Source organism: Homo sapiens, chromosome 7 (genome assembly GCF_000001405.40).
Source record: "Homo sapiens chromosome 7, GRCh38.p14 Primary Assembly".
Classification (NCBI taxonomy): domain Eukaryota; kingdom Metazoa; phylum Chordata; class Mammalia; order Primates; family Hominidae; genus Homo; species Homo sapiens.
The window spans coordinates 156,922,662-156,947,528 of NC_000007.14; the positions used below are offsets into that span (position 1 = coordinate 156,922,662).

Sequence of the window (24,867 nt, forward strand, 5' to 3'; positions counted from 1 at the left end):
GAATGAATGGATTCTGCTAAATTGGCACCAAGAAGTGAAGATACTGCAGAAAGTGGGAGACTAGAAAAACAGGCCAGGGTCACTAACCAGAAATGGAGACCAGAGCAGCAGCCCTCCAAATGGCAGTGTGCTTAATCAACGCATAAATGCTCTAGATGAACATTCCATGACAAAGTAACATTTAACAGCAGGAGAAAGGAGATAGAAGAAAGGGTTAACAGGCCAGGCGTGGTGGCTCACACCTGTAATCCCAGCACTTTGGGAGGCCGGGGCAGGTGGATCACCTGAGGTCAGGAGTTCGAGACCAGCCTGGCCAACATGGTGAAACCCCGTCTTTACTAAAAATACAAAAATTAGCCAGGCATAGTGGTGGGTGCCTGTAATCCCAGCTACTCGGGAGGCTGAGGCAGAGAATCACTTGAACCCGGGAGGCAGAGGTTGCTGTGAGCCAAGATCACACCACTGCATTTCAGCCTGGGCAACAGAACGAGACTCCATCTCAAAAAAAAAAAAAAAAAAAAAAATGTGGAGGTTCACAAACCAGCCCAGAAACAGTAATGAAGACAGAAAGAATCTCCTGGTCTGGTCTGCGTCAGGCAGCTGTGGTCTTGCACGGAAGTCTTTAATGTGGCAGAGCCTGGTCTGGTCTGCGTCAGGCAGCTGTGGTCTTGCACGGAAGTCTTTAATGTGGCAGAGCCTTTGGGGCCGACGCCAGGTGATCATGAGTGACAGCAAGACCGGGTCTGTCGAGATGGCTGTGTCTAGCTGGTTACGTCACGCTCGTTCATGGCCACGGAGCCCACTGGCAAGGATGCTAGTGGAAGAGTGTGCTTGGTTACATCCTTATCTGGTTGGATGCAGACTTTATCGATCAGGCACAATATCTGGTCCCTGTTGGCAAAGTGCCTTTTGAAATGTAAGATGGAGTCTTTTTCTAAGATGGAGTCACTTATGTCAAGGCGCTCTACACATGGGGACAATTTCAATGGAGAAGATTGAGAAACAAAAATAGGGCCGGGCACGGTGGCTCACACCTGTAATCCCAGCACTTTGGGAGGCCAAGGCGGGTGGATCACCCAAGGTCAGGAGTTCAAGACCAGCCTGACCAACATGGTGAAACCCCGTCTCTACTAAAAATACAAAAATTAGCTGGGCGTTGTGGCAGGCACCTATAATCCCAGCTACTTGGGAGTCTGAGGCAGGAGAATTGCTTGAACCCAGGAGGTAGAGGTTGCAGTGAGCTGAGATCGTGCCACTGCACTCCAGGCTGGGTGACAGAGCGAGACTCCGACTCAAAAAAAAAAAAAAAAAAAAGCCCCCAGCTGACTGAACAGACCTTGTGTTGGCGAAGGGGAGAAGACTTGGACGCCATGACGGGTTGGGAATTGGTCCCTCTCCCTCACTTCCCGGCCTTAGGCTCTCTTCACTAAGGGCTGAAAGAAACGGATCCTTTCAAAAGGCTCCTCCCCAACTTCGTGGGTTGATTACTGATCTGCCCAGGTACAGAACAAAGACAAGATGAGATCAATTGTTCCTTCACCCCTCCCTGGGCCCTTCCTTTTCTTCAAATGTTTGCCTTATGTTGCGTGAAATGTAGATTTACTTGGCACTAACTACAGTCTCCCAAGTATATAATCATTTGTCTCATTGCCACCCCCCACCTTTTAAGGAAACTATAGAAATACTCCTGAGAACCTCTTTGGAAGAAACAGCCACAGATGTGTCTGTGGTGGGTATTCTTCCTGGGAGTGCCCTCAGCTGGCTCAGTAACCCCGATGATCTGAGACTTATGCCTCAGTCGCTCATTTTGGTTGTCAGGATGAAAACAGCTCTAGAGACCAATGGTGGTGATGATTGCTCAGCAGTAAGAATGGATTTGATGTCACTGAACTATACACTTGAAATGGTTAAAATGGTAAATTTCATATTATGTACATTACCACAATAAAAAAAAAGTCACGACAACATATATCTGTAGCATACTGAACTATTTCTGGGAAAAAATTCTGTGTCAGAGATTTCACTCCAAAATAATCCAACAGGAAAGGGAAAGATGGAGGGATGGGTGGGGTGCGGATGAAGCTGGATGGATTGAACATTGGTTAAGCTGAGTGGTGGGTATGTGGGGGCTAATTACATGATTCTCTCTACTTTTGTATGTTGTAACATTTTCATAATAAAAAGTTAAGCAATAAAATGAGTTGGCCGGGCACGGTGGCTCACGCCTGTAATCCCAGCACTTTGGGAGGCTGAGGCGGGCGGATCACGAGGTCAGGAGATCCAGACCATCCTGGCTAACACGGTGAAACCCCATCTCTACTAAAAATACAAAAAATTAGCCGGGTGAGGTGTTGGGCACCTGAAGTCCCAGCTACTCAGGAGGCTGAGACAGGAGAATGGCGTGAACCCGGGAGGCAGAGCTTGCAGTGAGCCGAGATCGCGCCACTGTGCTCCAGCCTGGGTGACAGAGCGAGACTCTATCTCAAAAAAAAAAAAAAAAAAAAGAAAAAAAAAAGAAAATGAGTCTATCAGTTGTTTTCCAGCTATAGAAGGTGTCTGCTGTAATTCACCATAACCATGGGGCCTGAGGTCGCACAAGTTTTAAACCTAGAGTTTTATTCGTAACAACCTTACCCATAGCAAAGAAAAACATTTTTATTAAAAAGTGGACAAAGGATACTTGTTAGAGGTAGGAACGTTCACTAAGAATTTGGAAATTCAGGAAATAAGATTTCCCTCTCAGAGTTAAACTGTAAAATCAATACTGACCGATTGGGAAAGAGATATCCAAAGGACTCAAGTTGTTCTGGCATTTGCAGGAGAAAATTCAACCTGCTCTGACTGGTGGGAAGGGCTGAGACCCAGGACAGACCACAGAGGTCTCGGCAAGCACCTTCCTTCCTCCATGAGTCTAAGGGGTTTGGGAGTGCGGGGGTGGTCTCTGGCTGTGCAGTGAGTCTATGTCTGCTCATGAGTCCTTCTGGTTTGCATTACCCAGGCCAGGTGGAGGAGATGAAGGAATCCTCTGGAACAGGTAACTATAAACTAATTGAATATGTTACTATATCTAAATAATCAATGCATTGTGAACCCAAAAGGGGTTTATAGTCAATAAAAGCTTAGAGAAAATGCTGCCCAGGCGCTGCGCACATGCTGCAGGCTCACTCGTGGACTCCGGGTCTTCCTTAGAGCCCGCCCTCATGGTTCATCCTGTGGGGGACAGGAGAGCCAGAGGCTGCAGGTGGTGGACGCAGGCACCGTGGGGCCCCTGGCAAGGCCTGTGGTGGACGCAGGCACCGTGGGGCCCCTGGCAAGGCCTGTGGTGGACGCAGGCACCGTGGGGCCCCTGGCAAGGCCTGTGGTGGACGCAGGCACCATGGGGCCCCTGGCAAGGCCTCGTGGGCAAGCTTCCCACAGAGACCTGCACACAAGCCAGGCGTGGTGGCATGTGCCTGTGGTCCCACTCACTCAAGAGGCTGATGAGGGAGGACTGCTTGAGCCCAGGAGTTCAAGGCTGCAGAGAGCTATGATCACACCACTGCACACCAGCCTGGGCAACAGAGGAGACCCTGACTCTTAAAAAAAAAAAAAATCAACAAAATAAAGAGACCTGCATACAGCAACACAGGGGCTGGTCTTGGATGAGACCCAACCGCCTTGTCCCTCTGACCATTCCACTGTGTGTCGAATAAACCAACATTGTGTGCTCATCACTGCTTCCATGAACCTGGTTATTGTGCATCTGTCCCTGAACTCACTTGTGTTAGGTCTTCTGCTGAAATAGAAACTCTATTCTGGGGACATTAGCAAAGCACCTTGGGTCTCCACAGCCTCTGGGCCCCGCTGGCCTCCCTCAGACCATCCTGGTGAAACCTGTCAGTAGTTGGGGGTCCAACTCCTCCAACCCCACCCCCACTACCTTTTCTTCCTGGCTTTCAAGCTCATTGGCCTACTGTATATGGCTCGCTCTGTATCTGTTTGCACATAGAGGTAATGCCACAAATAAAACGCGAAACAGCAGCATTTCAGAGAGAAAAATCACATCCAGAATATTCCAAGCCACTTAAATCTTCTGGAAAAGTGGAAGAGACAACCATGAAAGTGTTAATATTGAACCAAGACCACATTTTAAAATGCCAAGCTTGTATGTGATTGTGAGATGTAATATAAGCTGAGGAATTATTGTAATTCTATCATAATTTACTACTTTACCAAAAATAAACTGATAAGATAAATAAGTACTGCTGCTAATGCCCAATTGACTAATATGACCTGAATAGAAATAAAATATTAGATGAGCTTGAGTTGCCAAGATTAAACTAGATTAGTGATAGAATCTCAGAGTCCTGTTTCGATATAATTAAAGTGGTGATTTAATGTGTCTTTAGCTCAGAATCGTTGTAAGAGCTTTTTTTGTAATAGCGTAGAAATGAATACACACTCGTCCAAGCCACAGAGGAATAAAAGGTTGTAATATTTTTGAGTTCCCTTGGCAGGGTAATCCATTCTCATCAATCTCACACTCTGCAGGGGAACATAAGGATGTTTTTCTTCCAATCATTGGCCGTCATTATTTAATGTAGGCTAACAGCCACAGTCTTCATTAATATATTAACCTATGGCTCACAAAGGCCTTGCAGTAAACCAAATGACAATTCCTCATGACAGGTTTATATCATAGGGCTCAGAGATAGTCACCATCTGAAACGCTGACCTCTGGGATAAGCTTAATATTGATACCCAACTGAAGAAGAGGCTAGCCAGCAAGAGAGAGGAATTCAAGTGCCCAGCTCGTGAGTTGCTACTCATTGCTATTAAAGACAAGCTGGTCAAAAACACATCTCATGCAACCATGTAATGGAAGATTTTACAACTTTCATAGGAATGAGGCAGATCTACATGTTGCAAAACAGAACAGACAAAAACGGATATATATGGTTACAGGAAAAACAATGGTGAGTACATGTCATCAGTTCTCATTTGCTCAGCATTCTGGCATGAAGGGGTCCCCAGAGAAATGGCTGACTGCCGTCCCGATCACCCCAAAGCAAAACCCATCCACAGCTCCGGGGAAACACAGAGCACAGCTTCTCCATGCCCCCAGCTTTGAGTCATTATAAAGGCAATCACGGACTCTCATAAAAGTGTAACTGGCTTGTAAAACATGTGTTTATGGACTTTCTTTTTTTTTTTTTTTTCTGAGATGGAGTCTCGCTCTTGTCGCCTAGGCGGCCCCAATCCTGGGAGCGTGGTGCCGCGGGCCTGTCCATGCCTGATCTGTGCCTGGAGGCGTCCTCCACCCCGACTACTGTCAATGAAGAGAGTCAAACTCTAAAATATTTGAAGAGATTTCCTGTGAGCCAAATATGAGTGACCAATTCTTACAGTTGGTAGCAAGTCAGACATGAGCAGACAGGAGAGGGCCCCCCTCCAGCCAGGAGTGTCAGGTGACCATCAGGTGATGGTCATGTGGCTGTCAACTGTCTCTCTAAAATAATTAGTTGCAGCTGGCACCAAGGAAAAGCAGCCCCCACAATAGACAGAAACACCTGCAACTGGTGATCAGCTGCTTCCTGATAAGATCTCAGGAGCTGGGCAAGTGGCTCAAGTATGTGCACTAAGAGGCAAACCTGGAGGATGACGTTCCTCTAGGAACGCCGGGCTGGAGGATGACCTTCCTCTAGGAACACCGGGCTGGAGGATGACCTTCCTCTGGGAACACTGGGCTGGTAAGGGAAGAATGCCTCAAGGGAGCATGTGTACAACTCCAGTAAACACACTATGCACGCAGCCCCTACCAAGTGCTGGCAGGCCACTGTGCATGTGGACAGCCCACCCCACAGGAAGAATCAGAGCAGAAGGGATGTAAGACCCCTGGCCCTAAGTCAAAGGCCGTGGACTTGATCTCTCGAGTCGCCCACTTGGCCGTCTTCCAAGTATACTTTCCTTCCTTGTGTTCCTGCTCTAAATGTTTCAACAAACTTTCAGACCTGCTCTAAAATGTGCCTAAATCTCTCAGTCTGCTTTGTGCCCCTCAGCTGAATTCTTTCTTCTGAGGAGGAAAGAATTGAGGTTGCTGCAGACCCATGCAGGCTCGCTGCCACTAACACCATGACCCAGGCCACAGCCCTCCGGAGACCCTGAGAACATATGTCCAAGGTGGTTGGGCTACAGCTTGGCTTTGTACATTTTAGGGAGACATAAGACATCAGCCAATACATGTAAGATGTACGTTGGTTCGGTTTGGAAAGGTGGGACAATTGGAAGGGGCAGGGGCTTCCAGGTCATAGGTGGATTCAAAGATTTTCTGATGGGCAGTTGGTTGAGTTATTATCTAAAGACCTGGAATCAATAGAAAGGAATATCTGGATTAAGACATGCAATTGTGTGCCAGGGGTGCAGTGGCTCACACCTGTAATCCCAGCACTTTGGGAGGTCGAGGCAGGCGGATCACAAGGTCAGGAGATCAAGACCATCCTGGCTAACACGGTGAAACCCTGTCTCCACTAAAAATACAAAAAACTAGCCGGGCGTGGTGGCACACACCTGTAGTCCCAGCTACTCGGGAGGCTGAGGCAGGAGAATCGCTTAAACCTGGGAGGCAGAGGTTGCAGTGAGTCGAGATCGCGCCGCTGCACTCCAGCCCAGGCGACAGAGCCAGACTCCGTCTCAAAAAAAAAAAAAAAAAGATACGGAATTGTGGAGACCAAGGTTCTTACTTCGCAGGTAGCAGGCTTCAGAGGGAGAATAGATTGTAAATGTTTCATATTGGACATAAAAACGTGTCAGACTGTTTGTTGATTGTCTCCTGGATCAGGAAAAAGGTCTGGAAAACAGAAAGGGGTTCTCTACAGAATGGATTTTCCCCACAAGAGACAACTTTGCAGGGCTATTTCAAGATCTGGCAAGGAAGCATATTTGGGTTAAAATATTTTTATTTCCTTCCTTATCTGTCATGTGAGGTTATGCCAGAGTCAGGTGGAAAGTGAACCACATTATATAGGATTAAATAAAACCCTTCCAGTAAGACTACGGTTTATAGTATGGACTCCCCAGGCCCCTTAGATAGGAATTTGGGCAAGAGAAGAAAAAGATCAGAGTTCAGACCCCACTGCTCTCCTCCAGAATGTGGGCAAAGAGTTGGCTGTCTCACCTGTGCAGGGGGCACAGTGACATCCATCGCAGACCATGGTTGGGAGGAGCAAATGAGAACATCATCGAGAGCTCTCACCCCTGCCTGGCACACGGAGAAGGCTCAACAAATAGCAGCTATCGGTGTGACTGCTGCTGCTCGAAGAGAGGAAATTCTGCAAAGCTGAACAGCCTGAGGATGGTTTCTGGGCATTCCCCAACCACGGTTCCTCCTCACCCCTGGTTCCTCCTCATCCTCTGATCTCAAAGCTCCCAGTGCCTCAAGGCTCCCCCGGGCGGGTTTTCTGTCTGCCCTCCCTCTTACAGGGAGCTTATTCCTGCTCAGGGTTTTAAACGTCATCTACCTGCTGATGACTTCATCTCCAGACCAAGCCAAGCCCCTGAAATACACACTGTATTCCACTGTTTATCTGACATCTCAACTTGGATGCTTAATTAATCCCCAGGGGCATGAACAGAACCAGCCAGTAGAGACCCGGGAGCTCATTCCGATTCCTGGACCACGATCCTGCAGGGACAGGGCCGTCTTCCTCCCCTTCTCCCAGTGGGAAGTGCTGGGATTACAGGTGTGAGCCACCGCACCCAGCCTAAATGCATTTTTAAAGTGTTATCTGTAAAACATCATACAGTTAAAAATGACTTTTTTAGATGACAGTTCTATGAACTCTAACACGTGTACAGATATGCGGAACCACAGCCACTGTCAGAACAATTGTACTCCAAAACAAGAAAACGGGCTGGGTGCAGTGGCTCATGCCTGTAATCCTAGCCCTTTGGAAGGCCAAGGCAGGAAGATCACCTGAGGTGAGGAGTTTGAGACCAGCCTGGTCAACATGGTGAAACCCCATCTCTACTAAAAATACAAAAATTAGCCGGGCATGATGGCAGGCGCCTGTAATCCCAGCTACTCGGTAGGTTGAGGCAGGAGAATCGCTTGAACCTGGGAGAAGGAGGTTGCAGTGAGTGGAGATCGTGCCAATGCACTCCAGCCTGGACGACAAGAGCAAAACTCCATCTCAAACAAAACAAAACAACAATCAGTTTGTGCAGTTTACAGCCTCTCCATCACAATGCTCTCCAACATCCATGAGAAGGTTTAATAACTTTAAAAGCAAAAGCCCTGTTTTTAAATTCTTGAGAAGCAAACTAGTTTTTTGGTTTTCTATCTGGTACCCTCCAAAATATAAACCCATTAAGTGTAGCTTCCAAGTAACCTGACCTCAAGCAATCCTCCTACCTCAGCCTCCCAAAGTGCTTGGATTACAGGCGTGCGCCACCTCGCCTGGCCAGTACTTCTTGACATTACCAACATCGTGAGTTCAGCCCTTAAACAGGGTTGCTTTGTATGATCAATTAGATGCCAGGACTGGTCTGACAAGAATACCTATTTTGATGTTGGTTGGCATAACTAATACTTTGCTGTTTCTGTTGACAATGGTTGACCGGTAGGTTTAGTTGCTCTTTGAGGCCTGCTGAGAACTCAGCCATGGCCCTGTATCATCAAGATGGAGGATCATCTCTTGCTTATTTAATTTTAGAGGCCATAGGACCAGATTGGCAAAGAACCATTCCAAAATCTTTAGCTGTATAGGCTGAGTAGGTCAGAGCCATCTTAACATAGTTAAACATGCCGTTTGATGTCAGAAGGCTATTCCTACCCACTCTGATTTTCTTGGTGACATTATGATAAAGGCGAAAGGTACATTAAAAGCTTTGGATCTATACTGGGGTCGTAAAATGTCACCCATAGACAGTTCCTGTCTAGGGATTCATTTGCCAGACAGATCAATAAATGCTGTGAAAAGTTCTACAATAAGTATTCCCAACCAGCTGTTCTGCAAAGCACCCGTGAGTGTACGCTAGTGAAACAGTAAAATGTTTCTGTAATTTCAGTATCAAATATATAATTTACTCAAATAGAATAAATTGGTTTTCAGGAAACTTAATTGAGAAACGGTGTGTTAGACTTGCCTTGTTTTCTAGGATAAAATCCTGATAATTACCACTGCCTGAGAGCCAACCCCAGAGAGGCGGATGCTGGAGATTTTACTCCTCAGTGTGGGGGTTAAAACTTGCTATGTAGTGATGGTACAGTGTCTGTCATTGAGAAATGCCTTTATTATGGCAAAAATCCAGGTATTTCCAACTCACCAGGAAGAAGACAAAATAAGCAAATGTATCTTGGTAGATGTTTACTCTTTGAATGTCAATAAGAATTTCACTCTGAAAGACAGCAGGTTTCCATTGTCCTCAGACAGGCAGCAGACAGCTGGGTCAGGAGCCGTGCTAACAAGTGAACCCAAGGTGAGGGAACTTTCAGATCCACACTCAATCTCTCCAACAGGAAGCATCGCTTTCCTGGCAACGGAAAGATTAATCATACATTGCACCAGGGAGAGACGAAGCTTGGTAATGTGAGACTGTGATTTACAATGATCTCCTGATTTATTGTTGTGTATTTTTAAGCCATATTATTTAAAATGCAGCTAATTTAAAAGCTAGTGTTCAGCACCGCGTGACTGCTGCTAAAGATCTACTCTCTGCTGATAAGAGAAGCACCGTGTTCTGTCCACTTACTCCCAGGTCCCCACAGCAGATCCAACCTCTAACAAAATCGCCTGTCAGGCGACGAATGTTGCTTTTCTTTGGGAAGTTATTATTTCTGTCTTTTTGTGTGTGTTTCCAATGCAGTTTATTTTTATTTTTATTCTTTATTTCTTAATTTTTTTTTGAGGCGGAGTCTCACTCTATTGCCCAGGCTGGAGTGTAATGGCACAATCAGCTCACTGCAACCTCCACCTCCCGGGTTCAAGAGATTCTCCCACCTCAGCCTCCCGAGTAGCTGGGATTACAGGCGCCCACCACCATGCCCAGCTAATTTTTGTATTTTTAGTAGAGACGGGGTTTCACCATGTTGGCCAGGCTGGTCTGGAACTACTGACCTCAGGTGATCCGCCCACCTCGGCCTCCCAAAGTGCTGGGATTACAGGTGTGAGCCACAGCGCCTGGCCTATTTCTTCCTGTTTTTTTTTTTTTTTTTTAGAGACAGGGTATCTGTCTGTCACCTAGGCTGGAGTGCAGAGGTGCGATCATAGCTCACCGTAGCCTCAGACTCCTGGGCTCAAGTGATCCTTCCAACTCAGCCTCCTGAGTAGCTGGAACTACAAGCCTGTGCCACAATGCCTGGCTTCAAATGCAGTTTAAATATTACAGAAGCCCACATAAGGACAGTACTTAATACTAACAAACAGCCTTGCTGGATGAATACAGTGATATATATTTTTAGTTTTACTTTAATTATTCTTCATCATTCGACTTCAAACATGTATTTTTAAAGGGGCCCTTTTGTAACCAGCATAACTGACACCACTTGTGTTACATGAAGCTCTTGCAGATGGTTCCCTTTAGTCCTAGCTTAGTTCCACAGATGGGCAATTCAGCCAACACCCTCATTTCATGGGTGAGGAAACTGACGTGTCCCAAGCCACACAACAGCCTTTGCTGCACTGCATTCCTGGTTAGGTGGGCACTTACTGAGTCTACCATTTGCAGAATCTGCAACTCTACTTCTATGCCACACCAATTGCTGCCTTCTGGGATTTGGGAGGCATTGAATGAGTGGATTTTTTTTCAAGCTTAGGATAGTGCTTGTCTTATGGTAAACACACAATAAATGTTATATCCTTATGATGACTGCTACGGAACAATTAAAATCTATCCGACTTCATTATGTGCTAAATATGGTTACTACGAGACAACAGACTGTGCAACACTAAACGCGGTACTGCATGTAAATAATGTTTTGAAAGGACCTGTCAAACTTTTTCCCCAAAATTTACAATGTTGCAATGCAAATAATTAAAATGAAAAATAGACACGATTTCCCATGTGAACCTTGACATCCCCAACTTGAGCAATTTTTTTACTTTTTTTTTTTTTTTTTTGAGACTAAGTCTTGCTCTGTCACCCAGGCTGGAGTGCAGTGGTGGGATCTTGGCTCACTGCAACCTCCGCCTCCCGGGTTCAAGCAATTCTCGAGCCTCAGCCTCCCAAGTAGGTGGGATTACAGGCACCCGCCACCATGCGTGGCTAATTTTTGTATTTTTAGTAGAGAGGGGTTTTCACCATGTTGGCCAGGCTGGTCTCGAACTCCTGACCTCAGACAATCCGCCCGCCTTGGCCTCCCAAAGTGCTGGGATTACAGGCATGAGCCACCGCGCCTGGCCTTTTGTACAAATTTAAAACATCTCCAATCAACGGACAACCGCGTGTTTTCTGAAGGCCCTTATGCCAGGCCCTGAAAAGATAATTTCCAACCTTAGGGAGATCGAGAATGGGGAAGAAAAGACTCCAGGGCAATTTTCTTCAGGGCAATTTTTTTTTTTTTTTTTGAGACAGCATTTTGCTGTTGTCACCCAGGCTGGAGTGCAATGGCACCAGCTCGGCTCACTGCAACCTCCACCTCCCAGGTTCAAGCGATTCTCCTGCCTCAGCCTCCCAAGTAGCTGGGATTATAGGCGCCTGCCACCATGTCCAGCTAATTTTTGTATTTTTAATACAGACGGGGTTTCACCATGTTGGCCAAGCTGGTCTCAATCTCCTGGCCTCATGATCCACCCGCCTCAGCCTCCCAAAGTGCTGGGATGACAGGTGTGAGCCACCGCGCCCGGCCCAAGATTCCAGGGCAATTTCAAAAGGGAGATGGGATTCGGCCTGGTTGCTGTGTGAGAAAGCGTTGGCCACATGGCAAGGGCAGGAGCCAGGCTGGGGAGGCTGTGCTGGTGGTGGTGGGCACAGGTGTGGATCCCGCACTGGGAGGCCTGGGCTGCAGGGGAGGAGAATGAGCCTCATGAAGCCTGCAGCAATGTCATCTGGCACCCAGCCCTTTCCTCTGGCGAATTCCGCTCTCTGCGTTCAGGGCATGACTCCTGCCTCCCGACCTCACAAGGCAGGAATCCTCAGGGAGCTGCCACCTTCACACCAGCCACCCTCCTGGGCACTGAGGTAAGGAGAAGTAAGACAGTAAGAATGGAGGATGATTCCCTCCTCCCCTTTGTTTCTCCAAAACTGTGTGTGTTGAAGAAAGAACCTTAGGCTGAGGAGAAGAAATCCGGCTTGGTTTCAGAAAGAGAGAGGGCCAGGCGCGGTGGCTCACACCTGTAATCCCAACACTTCAGCACTTCGGGAGGCCAAAGCAGGTGGATCACCTGAGGTCAGGAGTTTGAGACCAGCCTGGCCAACATGGTGAAACCCTCTCTGTACTAAAAACACAAAAATCAGCTGGGTGTGGTGGCATGCGTCTGTAATCCCAGCTACTCAGGAGGCTGAAGCAGGAGAATTGCTTGAACCCAGGAAGCCGAGGTTGCAGTGAGCCAAGATCGCGCCACTGCACTCCAGCCTGGGCGACAGAGCAAGACTCAATCTCAAAAAAAAAAAAGAAAGAAAGACAAAGTGAGAACTCCACATGGCTTTTGCTTCTGAGTAGCCACTGGTTATTATTGGAGTTTGGCTGTTTTGTTTGTTAGCTGCCGTGGTAAGTCAGATTCTTTTGCCCACAGAGACAAAGATGTTCCTGCGAGTCACCTCGCTGGGAGTGGAGCTGAGAAGCCCTGCACTGAGCTGGTGTGAGACAGGGAGGTAAAGCCTGCAGGGAGGAGGTGGAAGGGCGAGGCCACCCCATGGGCAGCAGCCCTCAGAGTGGGCCAGGCCTGGAGGAGGGGAAGAAGCTGGACTGTGTATCCTCGATGCCCAGTTGTGCTGTTCCGGGACTGGCCCCACTGGCCCCCTGGGACCCAGAGAGAAAGACCTTTGCTCTGGGCATCACAGGCGTGCACAGCCGGAGACAGGGAGGCACCCACGGAAGCACCTTCTGCGGCCTCTCTTTCCAACTTTTTAAATGGTCTGCCATTTTTATTTTGAACTGTTTTTTTCTTTCTTTTTGAGACAGGGTCTTGCTCCGTTGGCCAGGTTGGAGGGCAGTGGCGTGCAATCGCAGCTCATTGCAGCATCTCCCTCCTGGGCTCAAGTGATCCTCCTGCCTCTGGCCCCCGAAGTACTGGGATTACAGGCATGAGCCACCATGACTGGCCTATTTTGAACTTTTCATAATAAGAAAAAACTTTTTCCATCTAGAAAACATAAAATACACCTGGATGTTGCACTGACAGGATTTCCGTATGGAGAGAACCATGTTTGGACTTAGTTTGTGATCTGAGTAATACTAAAGGGGAGGTGACTTTAGCCAGTGATGATACTAAGTAGTGTCTTATGCAATTTGAAAAAGCCACATTCAAGTTCTATTAGTTTGCTCTAGGCCTGAGTAACATAGCCGCATAGAAAGATAGAGGGTTTTTTTGTTGTTGTTTTGTTTTTTTTTTTTTTTGAGTTAAGGTCTTGCTCTGTTGCCCAGGCTGGAGTGCGGTGGTGTGATCTCAGCTTACCACAACCTCCACCTCCCAGGTTCAAGCCATTCTCATGCCTTCTCATGCCTCAGCCTCCCAAGTAGCTGGGATTATAGGCAGGAGCAACCACACCCAGCTAATTTTTTTCTGTTTTTAGTGGAGATGAGTTTCACTATGTTGGCCAGGTTGGTCTCAAACTCTTGGCCTCAAGTGATCCTCCCACCTCGGCCTCCCCAAGTGCTCGGATTACAGGCATGAGCCACTGTGCCCAGCCAAAAGACAGAGTTTTGTAAGTCCTGTAAAAGCAGCACACACCCTCGGTCCAATGTTGGCTAACCCGGCAGCAAGTACAAGGCATTAGGGTGAATCTTCTCAAGCAAGAATGTGAATGGGAAACCACCTCCAGGTAAGATTACCCTGCGAGAATACAAAACTGCCTGGCATAGACACAACAAAAACAAAGAAAGTCACAACAAAATAATGAGAAGTCTTACACAACTAACAAAATAGGCATAATTTTTTTTTTTTCCTGAGGCAGGGTCTTGCTCTGTTACCCAGGCTGGAGTACAGTGGTGTGATCTCGGCTCACTGCAGCCTCCACTTGCTAGGCTCAATGGATCCTCCCACCTCAGCCTCCCCGAGTAGCTGGGAGTACAGGCCCATGCCACCACACCTGGCTAATTTTTGCATTTTTTGTAGAGATGGGGTCTCACTATGTTGCCCAGGCTTGTCTCAAACTCCTGGGCTCAAGAGATCCTCCCACCTTGGCCTCCCAAAGTGCTGGGATTATAGGCATGAGCTACAATGCCCTGCCCCAATAGGCATAACTTCTATCAAGAAGGTAAAGTATATAAGCGTCAAAAATATAGCAATTCTTAATTTGAGGGCATTTGGTAACATTTGCTACAAATGAGGGGAGCACCTCTAGAAAATAGAAAAATGTACTCAAAAGAAGGAAAGTGGATAGAAAGAACGGGAAGAGCTAGTGAAAATGAATGATGCGTCTGAAATACAGCCAGTACTGGATATAACTGTGTTAGTCAAATGCGTGAGAACTGGCCAACGAGGCCTGGTCAGGGAACAAAGTGTTTTGCAAAGACTCTGGTAATCAGGGTGAGATTGATAACCACGATGAAAGCCGCAACATTAATAACAAAAGATCAGCGACACAGACAAACATATTTATAGATCATTGCCTCAACTGGAGGCCCGCGAAGGCCCAGATGTATCACTGCTTTCAAATTTATTTATAGATCAATGTCCTGATGTGATAAACAGTTGGCTTGTAAACTAAAGATACTGAAAACCACAACATACAACTATGAATTTTTCCTTTTCTTTACTGTGCAAGAGATGTCAGCGCAGGTCTATAGTCCGGGGACAACTCCTTACTCATCTGATGAATGGGATGAACCATGTCAGAGGAAGAGCTAACCCTGCAGCCAAATTCTAATAAACAACAGGCTCAAGACCCTTGTCGACAAGCTCAGCCCAGACTCCAAAGTTCCACTGGAAGCATCTCCCACAGAAATGGCCTTCTCTGTGTTGCATACGACCCTACTGCTACAGCTTGGTGCTGTCCAAACTCCGGGGAGAGGAACCGGAACCTTTCAGTTCTTGGCTCAGCCATTCCATAGACAATATTGCAACAGGAAACGACTGAGGCTGTGGCGGCCTCTGGAAGTTCATTTCTGCCCACGTGTATCTGCCTTGAGTGTTCTAAGGCACTTATTCATTCATTTGTTCGTTTGCTCACTTGCCCGTCAAACATCTGAGTGCTGACTGCATGTCAGGAGTTTAAATAGGCCCTGGGGTAGAAATGTGAACAGTAGTCAGTTGAATAGGAATCGGAGGGCTAGACTCAAAGTCTCATGTGGGAGACAGAGGTAAGCACAGAGAGTTCCGTATTGTCAGGGTTACCCATCAGGGCACCAGGCACAGGAGTGGAGGACAGAGGAGGCCTCTTGCCTGGGGAAGCAGGGAATCCATCACCCAGCAGAGCAGAGGCAGAGGGGCAGAGAGGGTGCCAGCCAGAGGGCAGGTAAGGTGCCAATGTAAGTGCTGCCCTGTGGCAGCATGGGGTTCCAGCTACTGGGGAGACTTGAGCCCAGGAGTTTGAGGCCAGCTTGGGCAACATGGTGAGACCCTGTCTCTTCAAAAAAAAAATTAAAAAAAGTAGTCAATGTGTGTGTTGGGTGGGCGGGGAGGAGTCCAGAATGGCCTTAAAGGCCAAGCATGAAGGAACCCGGCACTCCTGGTACACATGCAGCCACTGAATGATTTGAGGAGGGGAATGGGACATTGAAGAAGGGGAAGTTTGGGGACTTGGGGACGGTGGAGTCAGGGCTTCTCCCCTCTCCAGGAGGCTGACCTCATGTTACTGGGAAAAGACGAAACCGCCTGAGACCACTCGGTATAGGGAGGGTGTGGGGGATGGGTGCTTACTCTCCCTGGGAGTGCAAACCGGCACAGCTTTTGGGTTGGAAATTTGGCATTATCTGTTAAATTTAAAAATAATATTCCTACCTTTCCCTAAGCAATTTCCAGAAGGAAATTCTTGTAAAATTTGCACAACTCTGCAAAATACACAAAGGGAAGTTTACTATAGCATTTTTTTTTAGATGGAGTCTCGCTCTGTCACCCAGGCTGGCGTGCAGTAGTACAGTCTCGCCTCACAGCAACCTCTGCCTCCCGGGTTCAAGCGATTCTCCTGCCTCAGCCTCTCTAGTAGCTGGGACTACAGGCGTGCGCGACCACGCCCAGCTAAGTTTTGTATTTTTAGTGGAGACGGGTTTTCATCATATTGGCCAGGCTGATCTCGAACTCCTGACCTCAGGTGACCCACCCACCTCGGCCTCCCAAAGTGCTGGGATTACAGGCGTGAGCCACTGCACCTGGCCTACTATAGCATTTTGTAATAGTATAAAAAAAATGTACGTTGTTAAAAGAAAACAATAAAATATTCCCCATTACCGGATTGGTTACATAAATCACATCCATAAAGCCACTGAAAAGAGTGAGGGATCCAGACTTTCCGACTCCAGTGTGCAAGCGAATCATCCAGGGAGGCTGTGAGAATGTAGACTCTGCCTCAGGGTCTGGGGAGGGCCTGAGGGGCTGCACTTCTCATAGCCTGCAGGTGCACAGCTGCTGCCACCCTGGGGCCCTGCGCCAGGTAGCCAGGACCCAGATGACCAAAAGCAAGCGGGAACATCAGAAACAGTATATCCTACATTGGTTTAAAAAAATAATAATGCAAGTTAATATACACATCACATATCCAGAAAGATATGCATTTCTGGAAGGAAGAACTTATGGTGGACTTTTCCTTCTACATTTTATATACATAATTGTAACATTTCAATTTTTATAATAATCACGAATTATCTTTGCAACCAGAAAAAAAAACTCAACATGTTAAGGTAATCGACCAATAAATTGATGCATTAAAACAAAAAAATTGTGAACCTGAGTCAAAAGTTACACTTTATTATTATTATTATTATTATTATTATTATTATTATTATTATTATTTGAGACAGAGTCTCACTCTGTCACCCAGGCTGGAGTGCAGTGGTGTGATCTCAGCTTGCTACAACCTCCATCTCCCAGGTTCAAGCAATTCTCCCACCTCAGGCTCCCCAGTAGCTGGGATTACAGGCATGCGCCACCACGCCCAGCTAATTTTTGTACTTTTAGTAGAGTTGCGGTTTCACCATGTTGGCCAGACTGGTCTCGAACCCCTAACCTCAAGTGATTCACCCACCTTGGCCTCCCAAATTGCTGGGATTACAGGCGTGAGCCAGTATGCCTGGCCACAAGTCATACTTTAAATCACATATGATATTACTTTTAATTACTTTTTTTTTGAGACAGGGTCTCACTCTGTCGCCCAGGCTGGAGTGCAGTGGCGTGATCTCAGCTTGCTACAACCTCCATCTCCCAGGTTCAAGCGATTCTCCCACCTCAGTCTCCCCAGTAGCTGGGACCACAGGCATGTGCCCCCACACCTGGTTAATTGTTGTAATTTTTTTAGAGATGGGGTTTTGCCAGTGTTGCCGAAACTGGTCTCCAACTCCTGGGCTCAAGTCATCCTCTCGTCTCAGCCTCCCAAAGTGCTGGGATTACAGGGCTATTATTTTTAAAGAGCTGTTCTAATCAGAGCCCCAAGTGGCTACTTTTTTTCCAGGCTGGGGGACGTTCTGGGATACAACAGCCTTCTGTCCACCCATCCGGATTGCAAGGTCCTGCAGGCTGCAGGGTGGCCTGCGGAAAATGCAATGCCGTTACTGTCCCTCTCTCACCCTCACCCACGCCCCACCCAAAACATGGCCATGCTTCCTGCTGCTCCCAGAACAAACACAAAACACTCCCGGATCGGCAGAGCTTTCACGCCCGGCCCTGGCCACCTCGCCAGCCGCATGTCTCACGCAGGTCTCCTCATGCCCGGCACTCTTGCTGCCCTTCAGACCCTAGTGTGTGCCACCTGCACCCCACAAACCGACCTCAGCATCATCAATGCGCTGGTTCATGTTTGCATTCCTCTCCTGTCCAGCCAGGTGGCAGAGCCTCCCATTTCCCCACTCCGAGCCCCTTTACCCAGGACTGTGGAAATAGGACTCTTTCCCATGCGACTGGGTGATGAGGCGCGACCGGGTGACGAGGCGCGACCGGGTGACGAGGCGCGACCGGGTGACGAGGCGCGAATGGGTGACGAGGCGCGATTGGGTGACGAGGCACACGCTGGGTGAAGAGGTGTGCGCTGGGTGACGAGGTGTCGTTGGGTGACGAGGCGCGAATGGGTGACGAGGCGCGATTGGGTGACGAGGCGCGACTGGGTGACGAGGTGCGAATGGGTGACGAGGCGCGATTGGGTGACGAGGCGCGACTGGGTGACAAGGCGCGACTGGGTGACGAGGCGCGATTGGGTGACGAGGAGCACGCTGGGTGAAGAGGTGTGCGCTGGGTGACGAGGTGTCATTGGGTGACGAGGCGCGAATGGGTGACGAGGCGCGATTGGGTGACAGGGCGCATGCTGGGTGACGAGGCACGTGCTGGGTGACGAGGCGCGACTGGGTGACGAGGCGCAAATGGGTGACGAGGCGCGATTGGGTGACGAGGAGCACGCTGGGTGAAGAGGTGTGCGCTGGGTGAAGAGGTGTGCGCTGGGTGACGAGGTGTCGTTGGGTGACGAGGCGCGACTGGGTGATGAGGCGCGACTGGGTGATGAGGCGCGAATGGGTGACGAGGTGCGACTGGGTGACGAGGCGCGACTGGGTGACGAGGCGCATGCTGGGTGACGAGGCGCGTGCTGGGTGATGAGGCACGACTGGGTGACGAGGTGTCGTTGGGTGACGAGGCGCGACTGGGTGACGAATGGGTGACGAGGCGTGACCAGGTGACGAGGCGCAAATGGGTGACGAGGCGCGATTGGGTGACGAGGTGCATGCTGGGTGACGAGGCGCGTGCTGGGTGACGAGGTGTCGGGTGACGAGGCGCAACTGGGTGATGAGGCGCGAATGGGTGACGAGGCGCACGCTGGGTGAAGAGGTGTGCGCTGGGTGACGAGGTGTCGTTGGGTGACGAGGCGCGACTGGGTGAGGCGCGAATGGGTGACGAGGCGCAATTGGGTGACGAGGCGCGACCGGGTGACGAGGCGCGAATGGGTGACGAGGCGCAACTGGGTGACGAGGCGCGATTGGGTGACGAGGCGCGATTGGGTGACGAGGCGCGAATGGGTGACGAGGCGCGACTGGGTGACGAGGCGCGATTGGGTGACGAGGCGCGAATGGGTGACGAGGCGCGATTGGGTGACGAGGCGCGCGCTGGGTGAAGAGGCACGACTGGGTGACAAGGTGCGCTGGCATCTGCAGGGTCACAGATGCAGGGGTCTTTCAAGTGGGGAGCAGCCAAAAATGCTCACATTAGGCCTCCCTCATGTTAGGATCTTCGGTTGAAAAATCTCCCACATAGGCCGGGCGCGGTGGCTCACGCCTGTAATCCCAGCACTTTGGGAGGCCGAGGCGGGTGGATCAAGAGGTCAGGAGATCGAGACCATCCTGGCTAACACGGTGAAACCCCGTCTCTACTAAAAATACAAAAAATTAGCCGGGTGTGGTGGCGGGCACCTGTAGTCCCAGCTACTCGGGAGGCTGAGGCGGGAGAATGGCGTGAACCCGGGAGGCGGAGCTTGCAGCGAGCCGAGATCGCGCCACCGCACTCCAGCCTGGGCGACAGAGCGAGACTCCGTCTAAAAAAAAAAGAAAAATCCCCCACAAAGTATTAGAAGTCCTGGCTTCAGAGCAAAGAAACCTCCACCCCAGGAGATCAGAACCAGCGCAGATGGCCCAGCGGCCACCGGCCAGGCCTCAGAGAACGATCACAGACAGAAAACTCACGCAGGTCAGCGGCCTCAGGGAGTTCACCACCAACCACTGAGCCGTTCTGTGCGCCAGACCCCGGCTGAGCACTCGGCGCAAGTAATCGATTTTCACTCATGGGGTTCCTGTGGAGCGGGATGGCAGCGAGGCTGCGGGCTCCTTTTCCCCAGTGAGTCGCGGAGGAGGACTGAAGGAGGGGCCTGGGTTCCGGGAGCACCAGCGGTGCAACCCCGGGGGAGGCCCTGGTCTACGGCGCGGGGAGCTCAGCCAGTGCGGCAGGCGTGAGGCTGGGCGGGAGGAGAGCTCTCCCGCTCCGCTGACTCACCTGGCGGCCTTGACACACAGAAACAGGCCCCAGCTGAAGGTGCGGCGGGCCGGCACCCTCCTCTCAGGCTGGGAGCTACGGGAATCCTGGCTCCCCCCAGGCTCCTCTCCATGAACCGAGTGGCAAAGCCTGCGGGATGAGCAGTGTGGGGAGGTGTTTGTGGAGCCCGTCACCCTTCAGCCTCTGAAAGACTCACCGTCAGACCAAGGAGCTGAGACCCCAGGAGAACGCACCCTCGCGGAGCCTGAGTCCGCAGACGTCTCAGTACAACCGCCCCCAAATGAAGACCTCAGAGGGCAGCCGACAGCTTGGGAACAGTGAGGGAAGGAGCAAGCAGCCCTCAGGCCCAGCACAGCAGCCACTCAGGGAGCACGGGGAGGGCCGGTGTAAGTTCCAAGCTGAAACGAGCATTTTTATAACAGCCCCGTGGCGTCGGCACCACCGCATCCCATTCCACAGATAGACCCAGGCTGGAGAGGTGAGCAAGGCCACGTGGCTGGAAATGGGGAGATCAGGGTTTCACCCCAAGCCTGAGAGCCCAGGGCCGCGCTGCTGACTACTCTGTGTGCATCTGGCAGCTGAACCTTCCTGTTCCCATCACCGTGAGGCCGTAAGTCTTGCTCACAACTACTTCCCACCTACCTAGCTCAGGTTCCTGGCAGGCGCCAGGATCCCCGGGAACTCCCCAGCACAGCCTGGTCTCCCAGCAGCCCGAGCAGACCGTGGTCAGCGGCTGATGGTGACCAAGCCCTGACGCTTTGTTCCAGCACAGCCAGAGTGCAGGTCGGGCTCCCACCCACAGTCTGGGGCGGGGACAGGTGGATGGGAGCAGTGCAGAGCACAGGAGGGCAGCTCCTGGAATGGTGACAGCCAGGGAAGGGAGCAGGGCTGCAGACAAAGGCCAGGCAGAACAGGGACATTGGTACAGTAGAGAAACCAGCTCTAAAATGATGCCTCACGGGCTGGGAAAGTGACTTACTCCTGACTCCTGTGTACACACAGTACCCTGAGGCGGTGAGCCGAGCCCCGGCTGCCGCCAACGCTCACTCCTGTACAGCACCCAACACACTGGGTGTTGGGGGCCCCTGTATCTCGTTTCTACACACCACAAAAAGTGCGGCTGTTGACCCAGAAGATGGAAATGTTTTCAGTGAGAAGATGCAGGGCTGTAGGTGTAGGTTGGAAGAGACGGGAGAGTGTTCAGCAGAAACTTGCGCCTGGCCCTCTGAATGGGGGGAAATGAATTTCTGTCTCCCCACACTTCCCGAACTTCTGTGCCAGAGCTTCCTTCCCCACTTCTAGACAACACCCCAGGTGCATCTCAGAGCTTTTCCAGTCACTTTTCAGCTTTAGAACAGCATCCTTTGCAGATTTTTAAAATAAATTCCAGCTAGACTGAAATCAAAATTTCATCTTTCCACCAGTTCAGACCTCACCTCAGTTCAGAAATCTGCTAGGAGGAGTGGGGCCTTTTCCTCACTTCCCTAACTTAGCGCATCCTCACATTATTGGGGGCTGGAGGTGCAGGGGGCACGATGTCATCCTCCCCTCTGACAGTTCCCCCACGCAGGACACTCTCCCGATGCCTCCTGTCCCCTGGGAATGGGTGAGAAAGCCATGCTTACGCCCTTGCCACCCTCTGCCTCTTCTTCTCTGACAGGGAAGGGTCTCAGGACCTCCCCAGCCTCTCTTGGCAGATCCTGCAGCTCCTGGACGGAAAAGAGGGGGAGCTCATCACCTACAAACCTCACCAGAGCTCCCAGGAAACAGAAAAAGCCCACATTCTTCCTGGTCACTCCACAGCACCCCCCCTTTCCTTCTGGGTCCCTTCCCTGCTCCAAACACCCCCAGCTCCCTGGAGACTCAGCCTGGACCACCGCAGACCATAGATGGGCAGACACCAGGGCCCGCCTTCAGGCGGAATTGTGCCCATCTGTGCTTCAGAGCCTTTCCCTGCACAATGAAGACGTGGTCTGCACCTCACATGGTGGCTGCCGTGAGGATGAAGGACGAGGCTTGGGAAGCCATCTGCACAGCTTCTGTCCACTGCAGGTGGGATACATGCTCTTGCTGCCCAGCTTGGCTTTCCTTCTGCCCGATGCCCATCCTCCACTCCAGCCAGGCAAGCTCACTGTGCCATGTGCCAGGCTCATTCAGAAGCCCTCACCTCCTCCCGCATTGTCCATGGGAAGTCCCACATCCTCTCAGGCATCAGAAATGCCCCTCTGAGTCAGGGTCCCCCCATCCCCCGCCTTTTCCAGGACACGCCCCTCCCCCTCCTCCTCCTCCAAGACAGGGAGCCCAGGGCACCAGGACACTTGTGCTGCAGGAGTTAGCGAGGCAATTCGGAGAAAAACGAGACAGATAAAAGTTGGAAAGGAGAAGGTTGGGACAGGGAAAGCTGATTGTCCCCAATATCTGTTCTTTTCATGTTCTCTAATAACAGAGGCCCAGATTTTTGGATGAGCACACACTCTTCATACATGTTAGAAGATGTAATGATCCCATTGACAAAAACAGAGTGATAAGACACTTAAGAATAAATTCTGCAAGAAACGTATGCACAACCTATATGAAGAGAACACAGACTGTCTGAATGAATGGAAGGTATATACTGTCCTTAGAGAGGAAGATTTAACATCATAAATATTCTATTCATCTTTCCACCAGTTCAGACCTCATCTCAGTTTAGTCTACAAATTAAACACAACCCCGGTTAAAATACCAACAGCATTTTTCATGGATGATCGTTAATTCTAAAGTTCGCTTTTTAAGTTGGGTGCAATGGCTGTCACTGGTAATCACTGTACTTTGGGAGGCTGAGGCAGGAGGACCATTTGCACTTAGGAGTTTGAAACCAGCCTGGGCAACATAGCAAGAACTCCTCTATACTAAAAAAATAAAATAAAATAAATTAGCCAGGCATGGTGGCATGCACCTGTAGTCCCAGCTACTTGGGAAGTTGAGAAGGGAGCATCACTCGAGCCCAGAAGGGCGAGGCTGCAGTGAGCTATGATCATGCCATGGCACTCCAGCCTGGGCAACAGAGCAAGGCCCTGTCTCCAAAAAATATATAAAAATAAAGATAAAGTTTTTTTTAAAACAAAAGCACTAAAGAAAACAATTACGAAAATGAAGAGTAACAAGGAATGAGAAGACTGATATTAAACTACGTTATAGAGCCATAATAGTTAAAGCAGTAGAGCACCGAGGCATACACATGCTGGAAGATTAGGAAAAAGAGAGCCCAGAGATAGGCTCAAATACATTTTAAAAACTGCTGTATTATCAAGATGGTGTTTCAAATTGGTGGAGAAAAGGTAGATTTTTCATTAAAATGTACTGGCATTGGCATTTTCTGGGGAAAAAATAGGTTGGTCTTACCTTGTTTTATACATCAAAATAAAAAATACATTGGTCAAAGATTAAGTATTTTAGGAGCCAGGTATGGTGGCTCGTGACTGTAATCTCAGATACTCAGGAGGCTGAGGCGGGAAGATCACTTGAGGCCAGGAGTTTGAGACCAGTCTAGGCAACATAGCATCCCTTAAAAAACAAAAATAAAAATAGCTGGGCAGGATGGCTGAAGTGGGAGGATCACTGGAGCCCAGGAGTTTGAGGCCATGGTAAGCTATGATCCTGCCTGTGAAGAGCCACTGCATTCCAGCCTGGGCAACATCGAGAGAACTTCATCTCTAAAAGGAAGGGGGGGAATCTTTAAAAAAAAATCCTTGAGTGGGGAAGAGCTTTCAAAGTATAATACAAAACTTTAGAAGTCATAAAGACTGATAATTTTAACAATGCAAAAGAAATTTTAATCGTCCATGGCAAAAAAATAAAAATGAAACTAGTCAACTAGAGAAAAATACATATTTGCAACATGTCATGAACAAGAGCCAATTTCCTTAATATGTAAAGAGCTTCTGTAAGAAAAGACTGTCATAAACCATAGAAAAATGGGCAAAGGATATGAATCGCAATTTTGCAGAAATGAAATGGAAATGGCTCATAAGCATATGAAGGATGGTCAGCTCCACTTTTACTGAGGAACATGCAAATTCAACTTAATGAGATTTTTTTCTTCCATCAAATTGGCAAAGATAAGTTTCATAACTTTCATTCATTGATGCAACTTCCATGGATGGTCCTTAAGCAATATTTATCAAATTTACAAAATACACACCATCAATTTCAGAATTCACACACTTCTAAGAATATATCCCTTAAACTGTACTCTCACATGAAATGCTGTGTGTGGAAAGCTATTCATTGTAGCATCATTTTTAGTATGAATGTGTGGGAATAAAAACTATCAGCAGGGGCTGTGTCACTAAATGATGGACGGCCTCTCCATCACTGACTTTGCAGCCAATAAAAAATAACAAAGCATCCATTCATTCATGTCTATTTACCGAGTGCCACTAACCCTGGGGACAAATCCACAGACCAGAAGTCATGCCCTGGTGAGAAGGAGACAACAAACACATAAGTCAAATGGGGAGGGAAGTGCCAAGGAAATAGGATGACAGGAAACAGGATTTTGAGGCTGCTGCAGCCTCAAACAGGGTTGTCAGGATGGACTCGCTGAGACTTTTGAGCAAAGGCTGGG

The 24,867-nt window shown here is 49.2% G+C and overlaps 1 long non-coding RNA gene and 1 other non-coding gene across 2 annotated transcripts, besides 1 other annotated feature; one reads left to right on the plus strand and one right to left on the minus strand.

Moving 5' to 3' along the window:
- Positions 1-14,752: 14,752 nt before the first annotated feature.
- On the minus strand, positions 14,753-17,020 carry LOC105375604 (uncharacterized threonine-rich GPI-anchored glycoprotein PJ4664.02-like). Its single transcript, XR_928255.2, has 3 exons — positions 16,527-17,020; positions 16,080-16,129; positions 14,753-15,361 (listed from the first exon to the last, which is right to left on the minus strand). It is a non-coding gene; the product is annotated as an uncharacterized threonine-rich GPI-anchored glycoprotein PJ4664.02-like (transcript).
- Positions 18,762-19,527: an enhancer, noted in NCBI's record as "H3K27ac-H3K4me1 hESC enhancer chr7:156734117-156734882 (GRCh37/hg19 assembly coordinates)". NCBI's record gives its function as "activates a minimal SCP1, AML or CMV promoter by ChIP-STARR-seq in naive H9 embryonic stem cells {active_cell/tissue: H9 hESC(naive)}" and the evidence as "EXISTENCE:reporter gene assay evidence [ECO:0000049][PMID:30033119]".
- Positions 19,896-23,123, plus strand: LOC105375605 (uncharacterized). The gene is made up of 4 exons (XR_001745007.1): positions 19,896-19,955; positions 20,067-20,297; positions 20,449-20,644; positions 21,919-23,123. It is a non-coding gene; the product is annotated as an uncharacterized LOC105375605 (long non-coding RNA).
- The last annotated feature ends 1,744 nt before the right edge of the window (positions 23,124-24,867 follow it).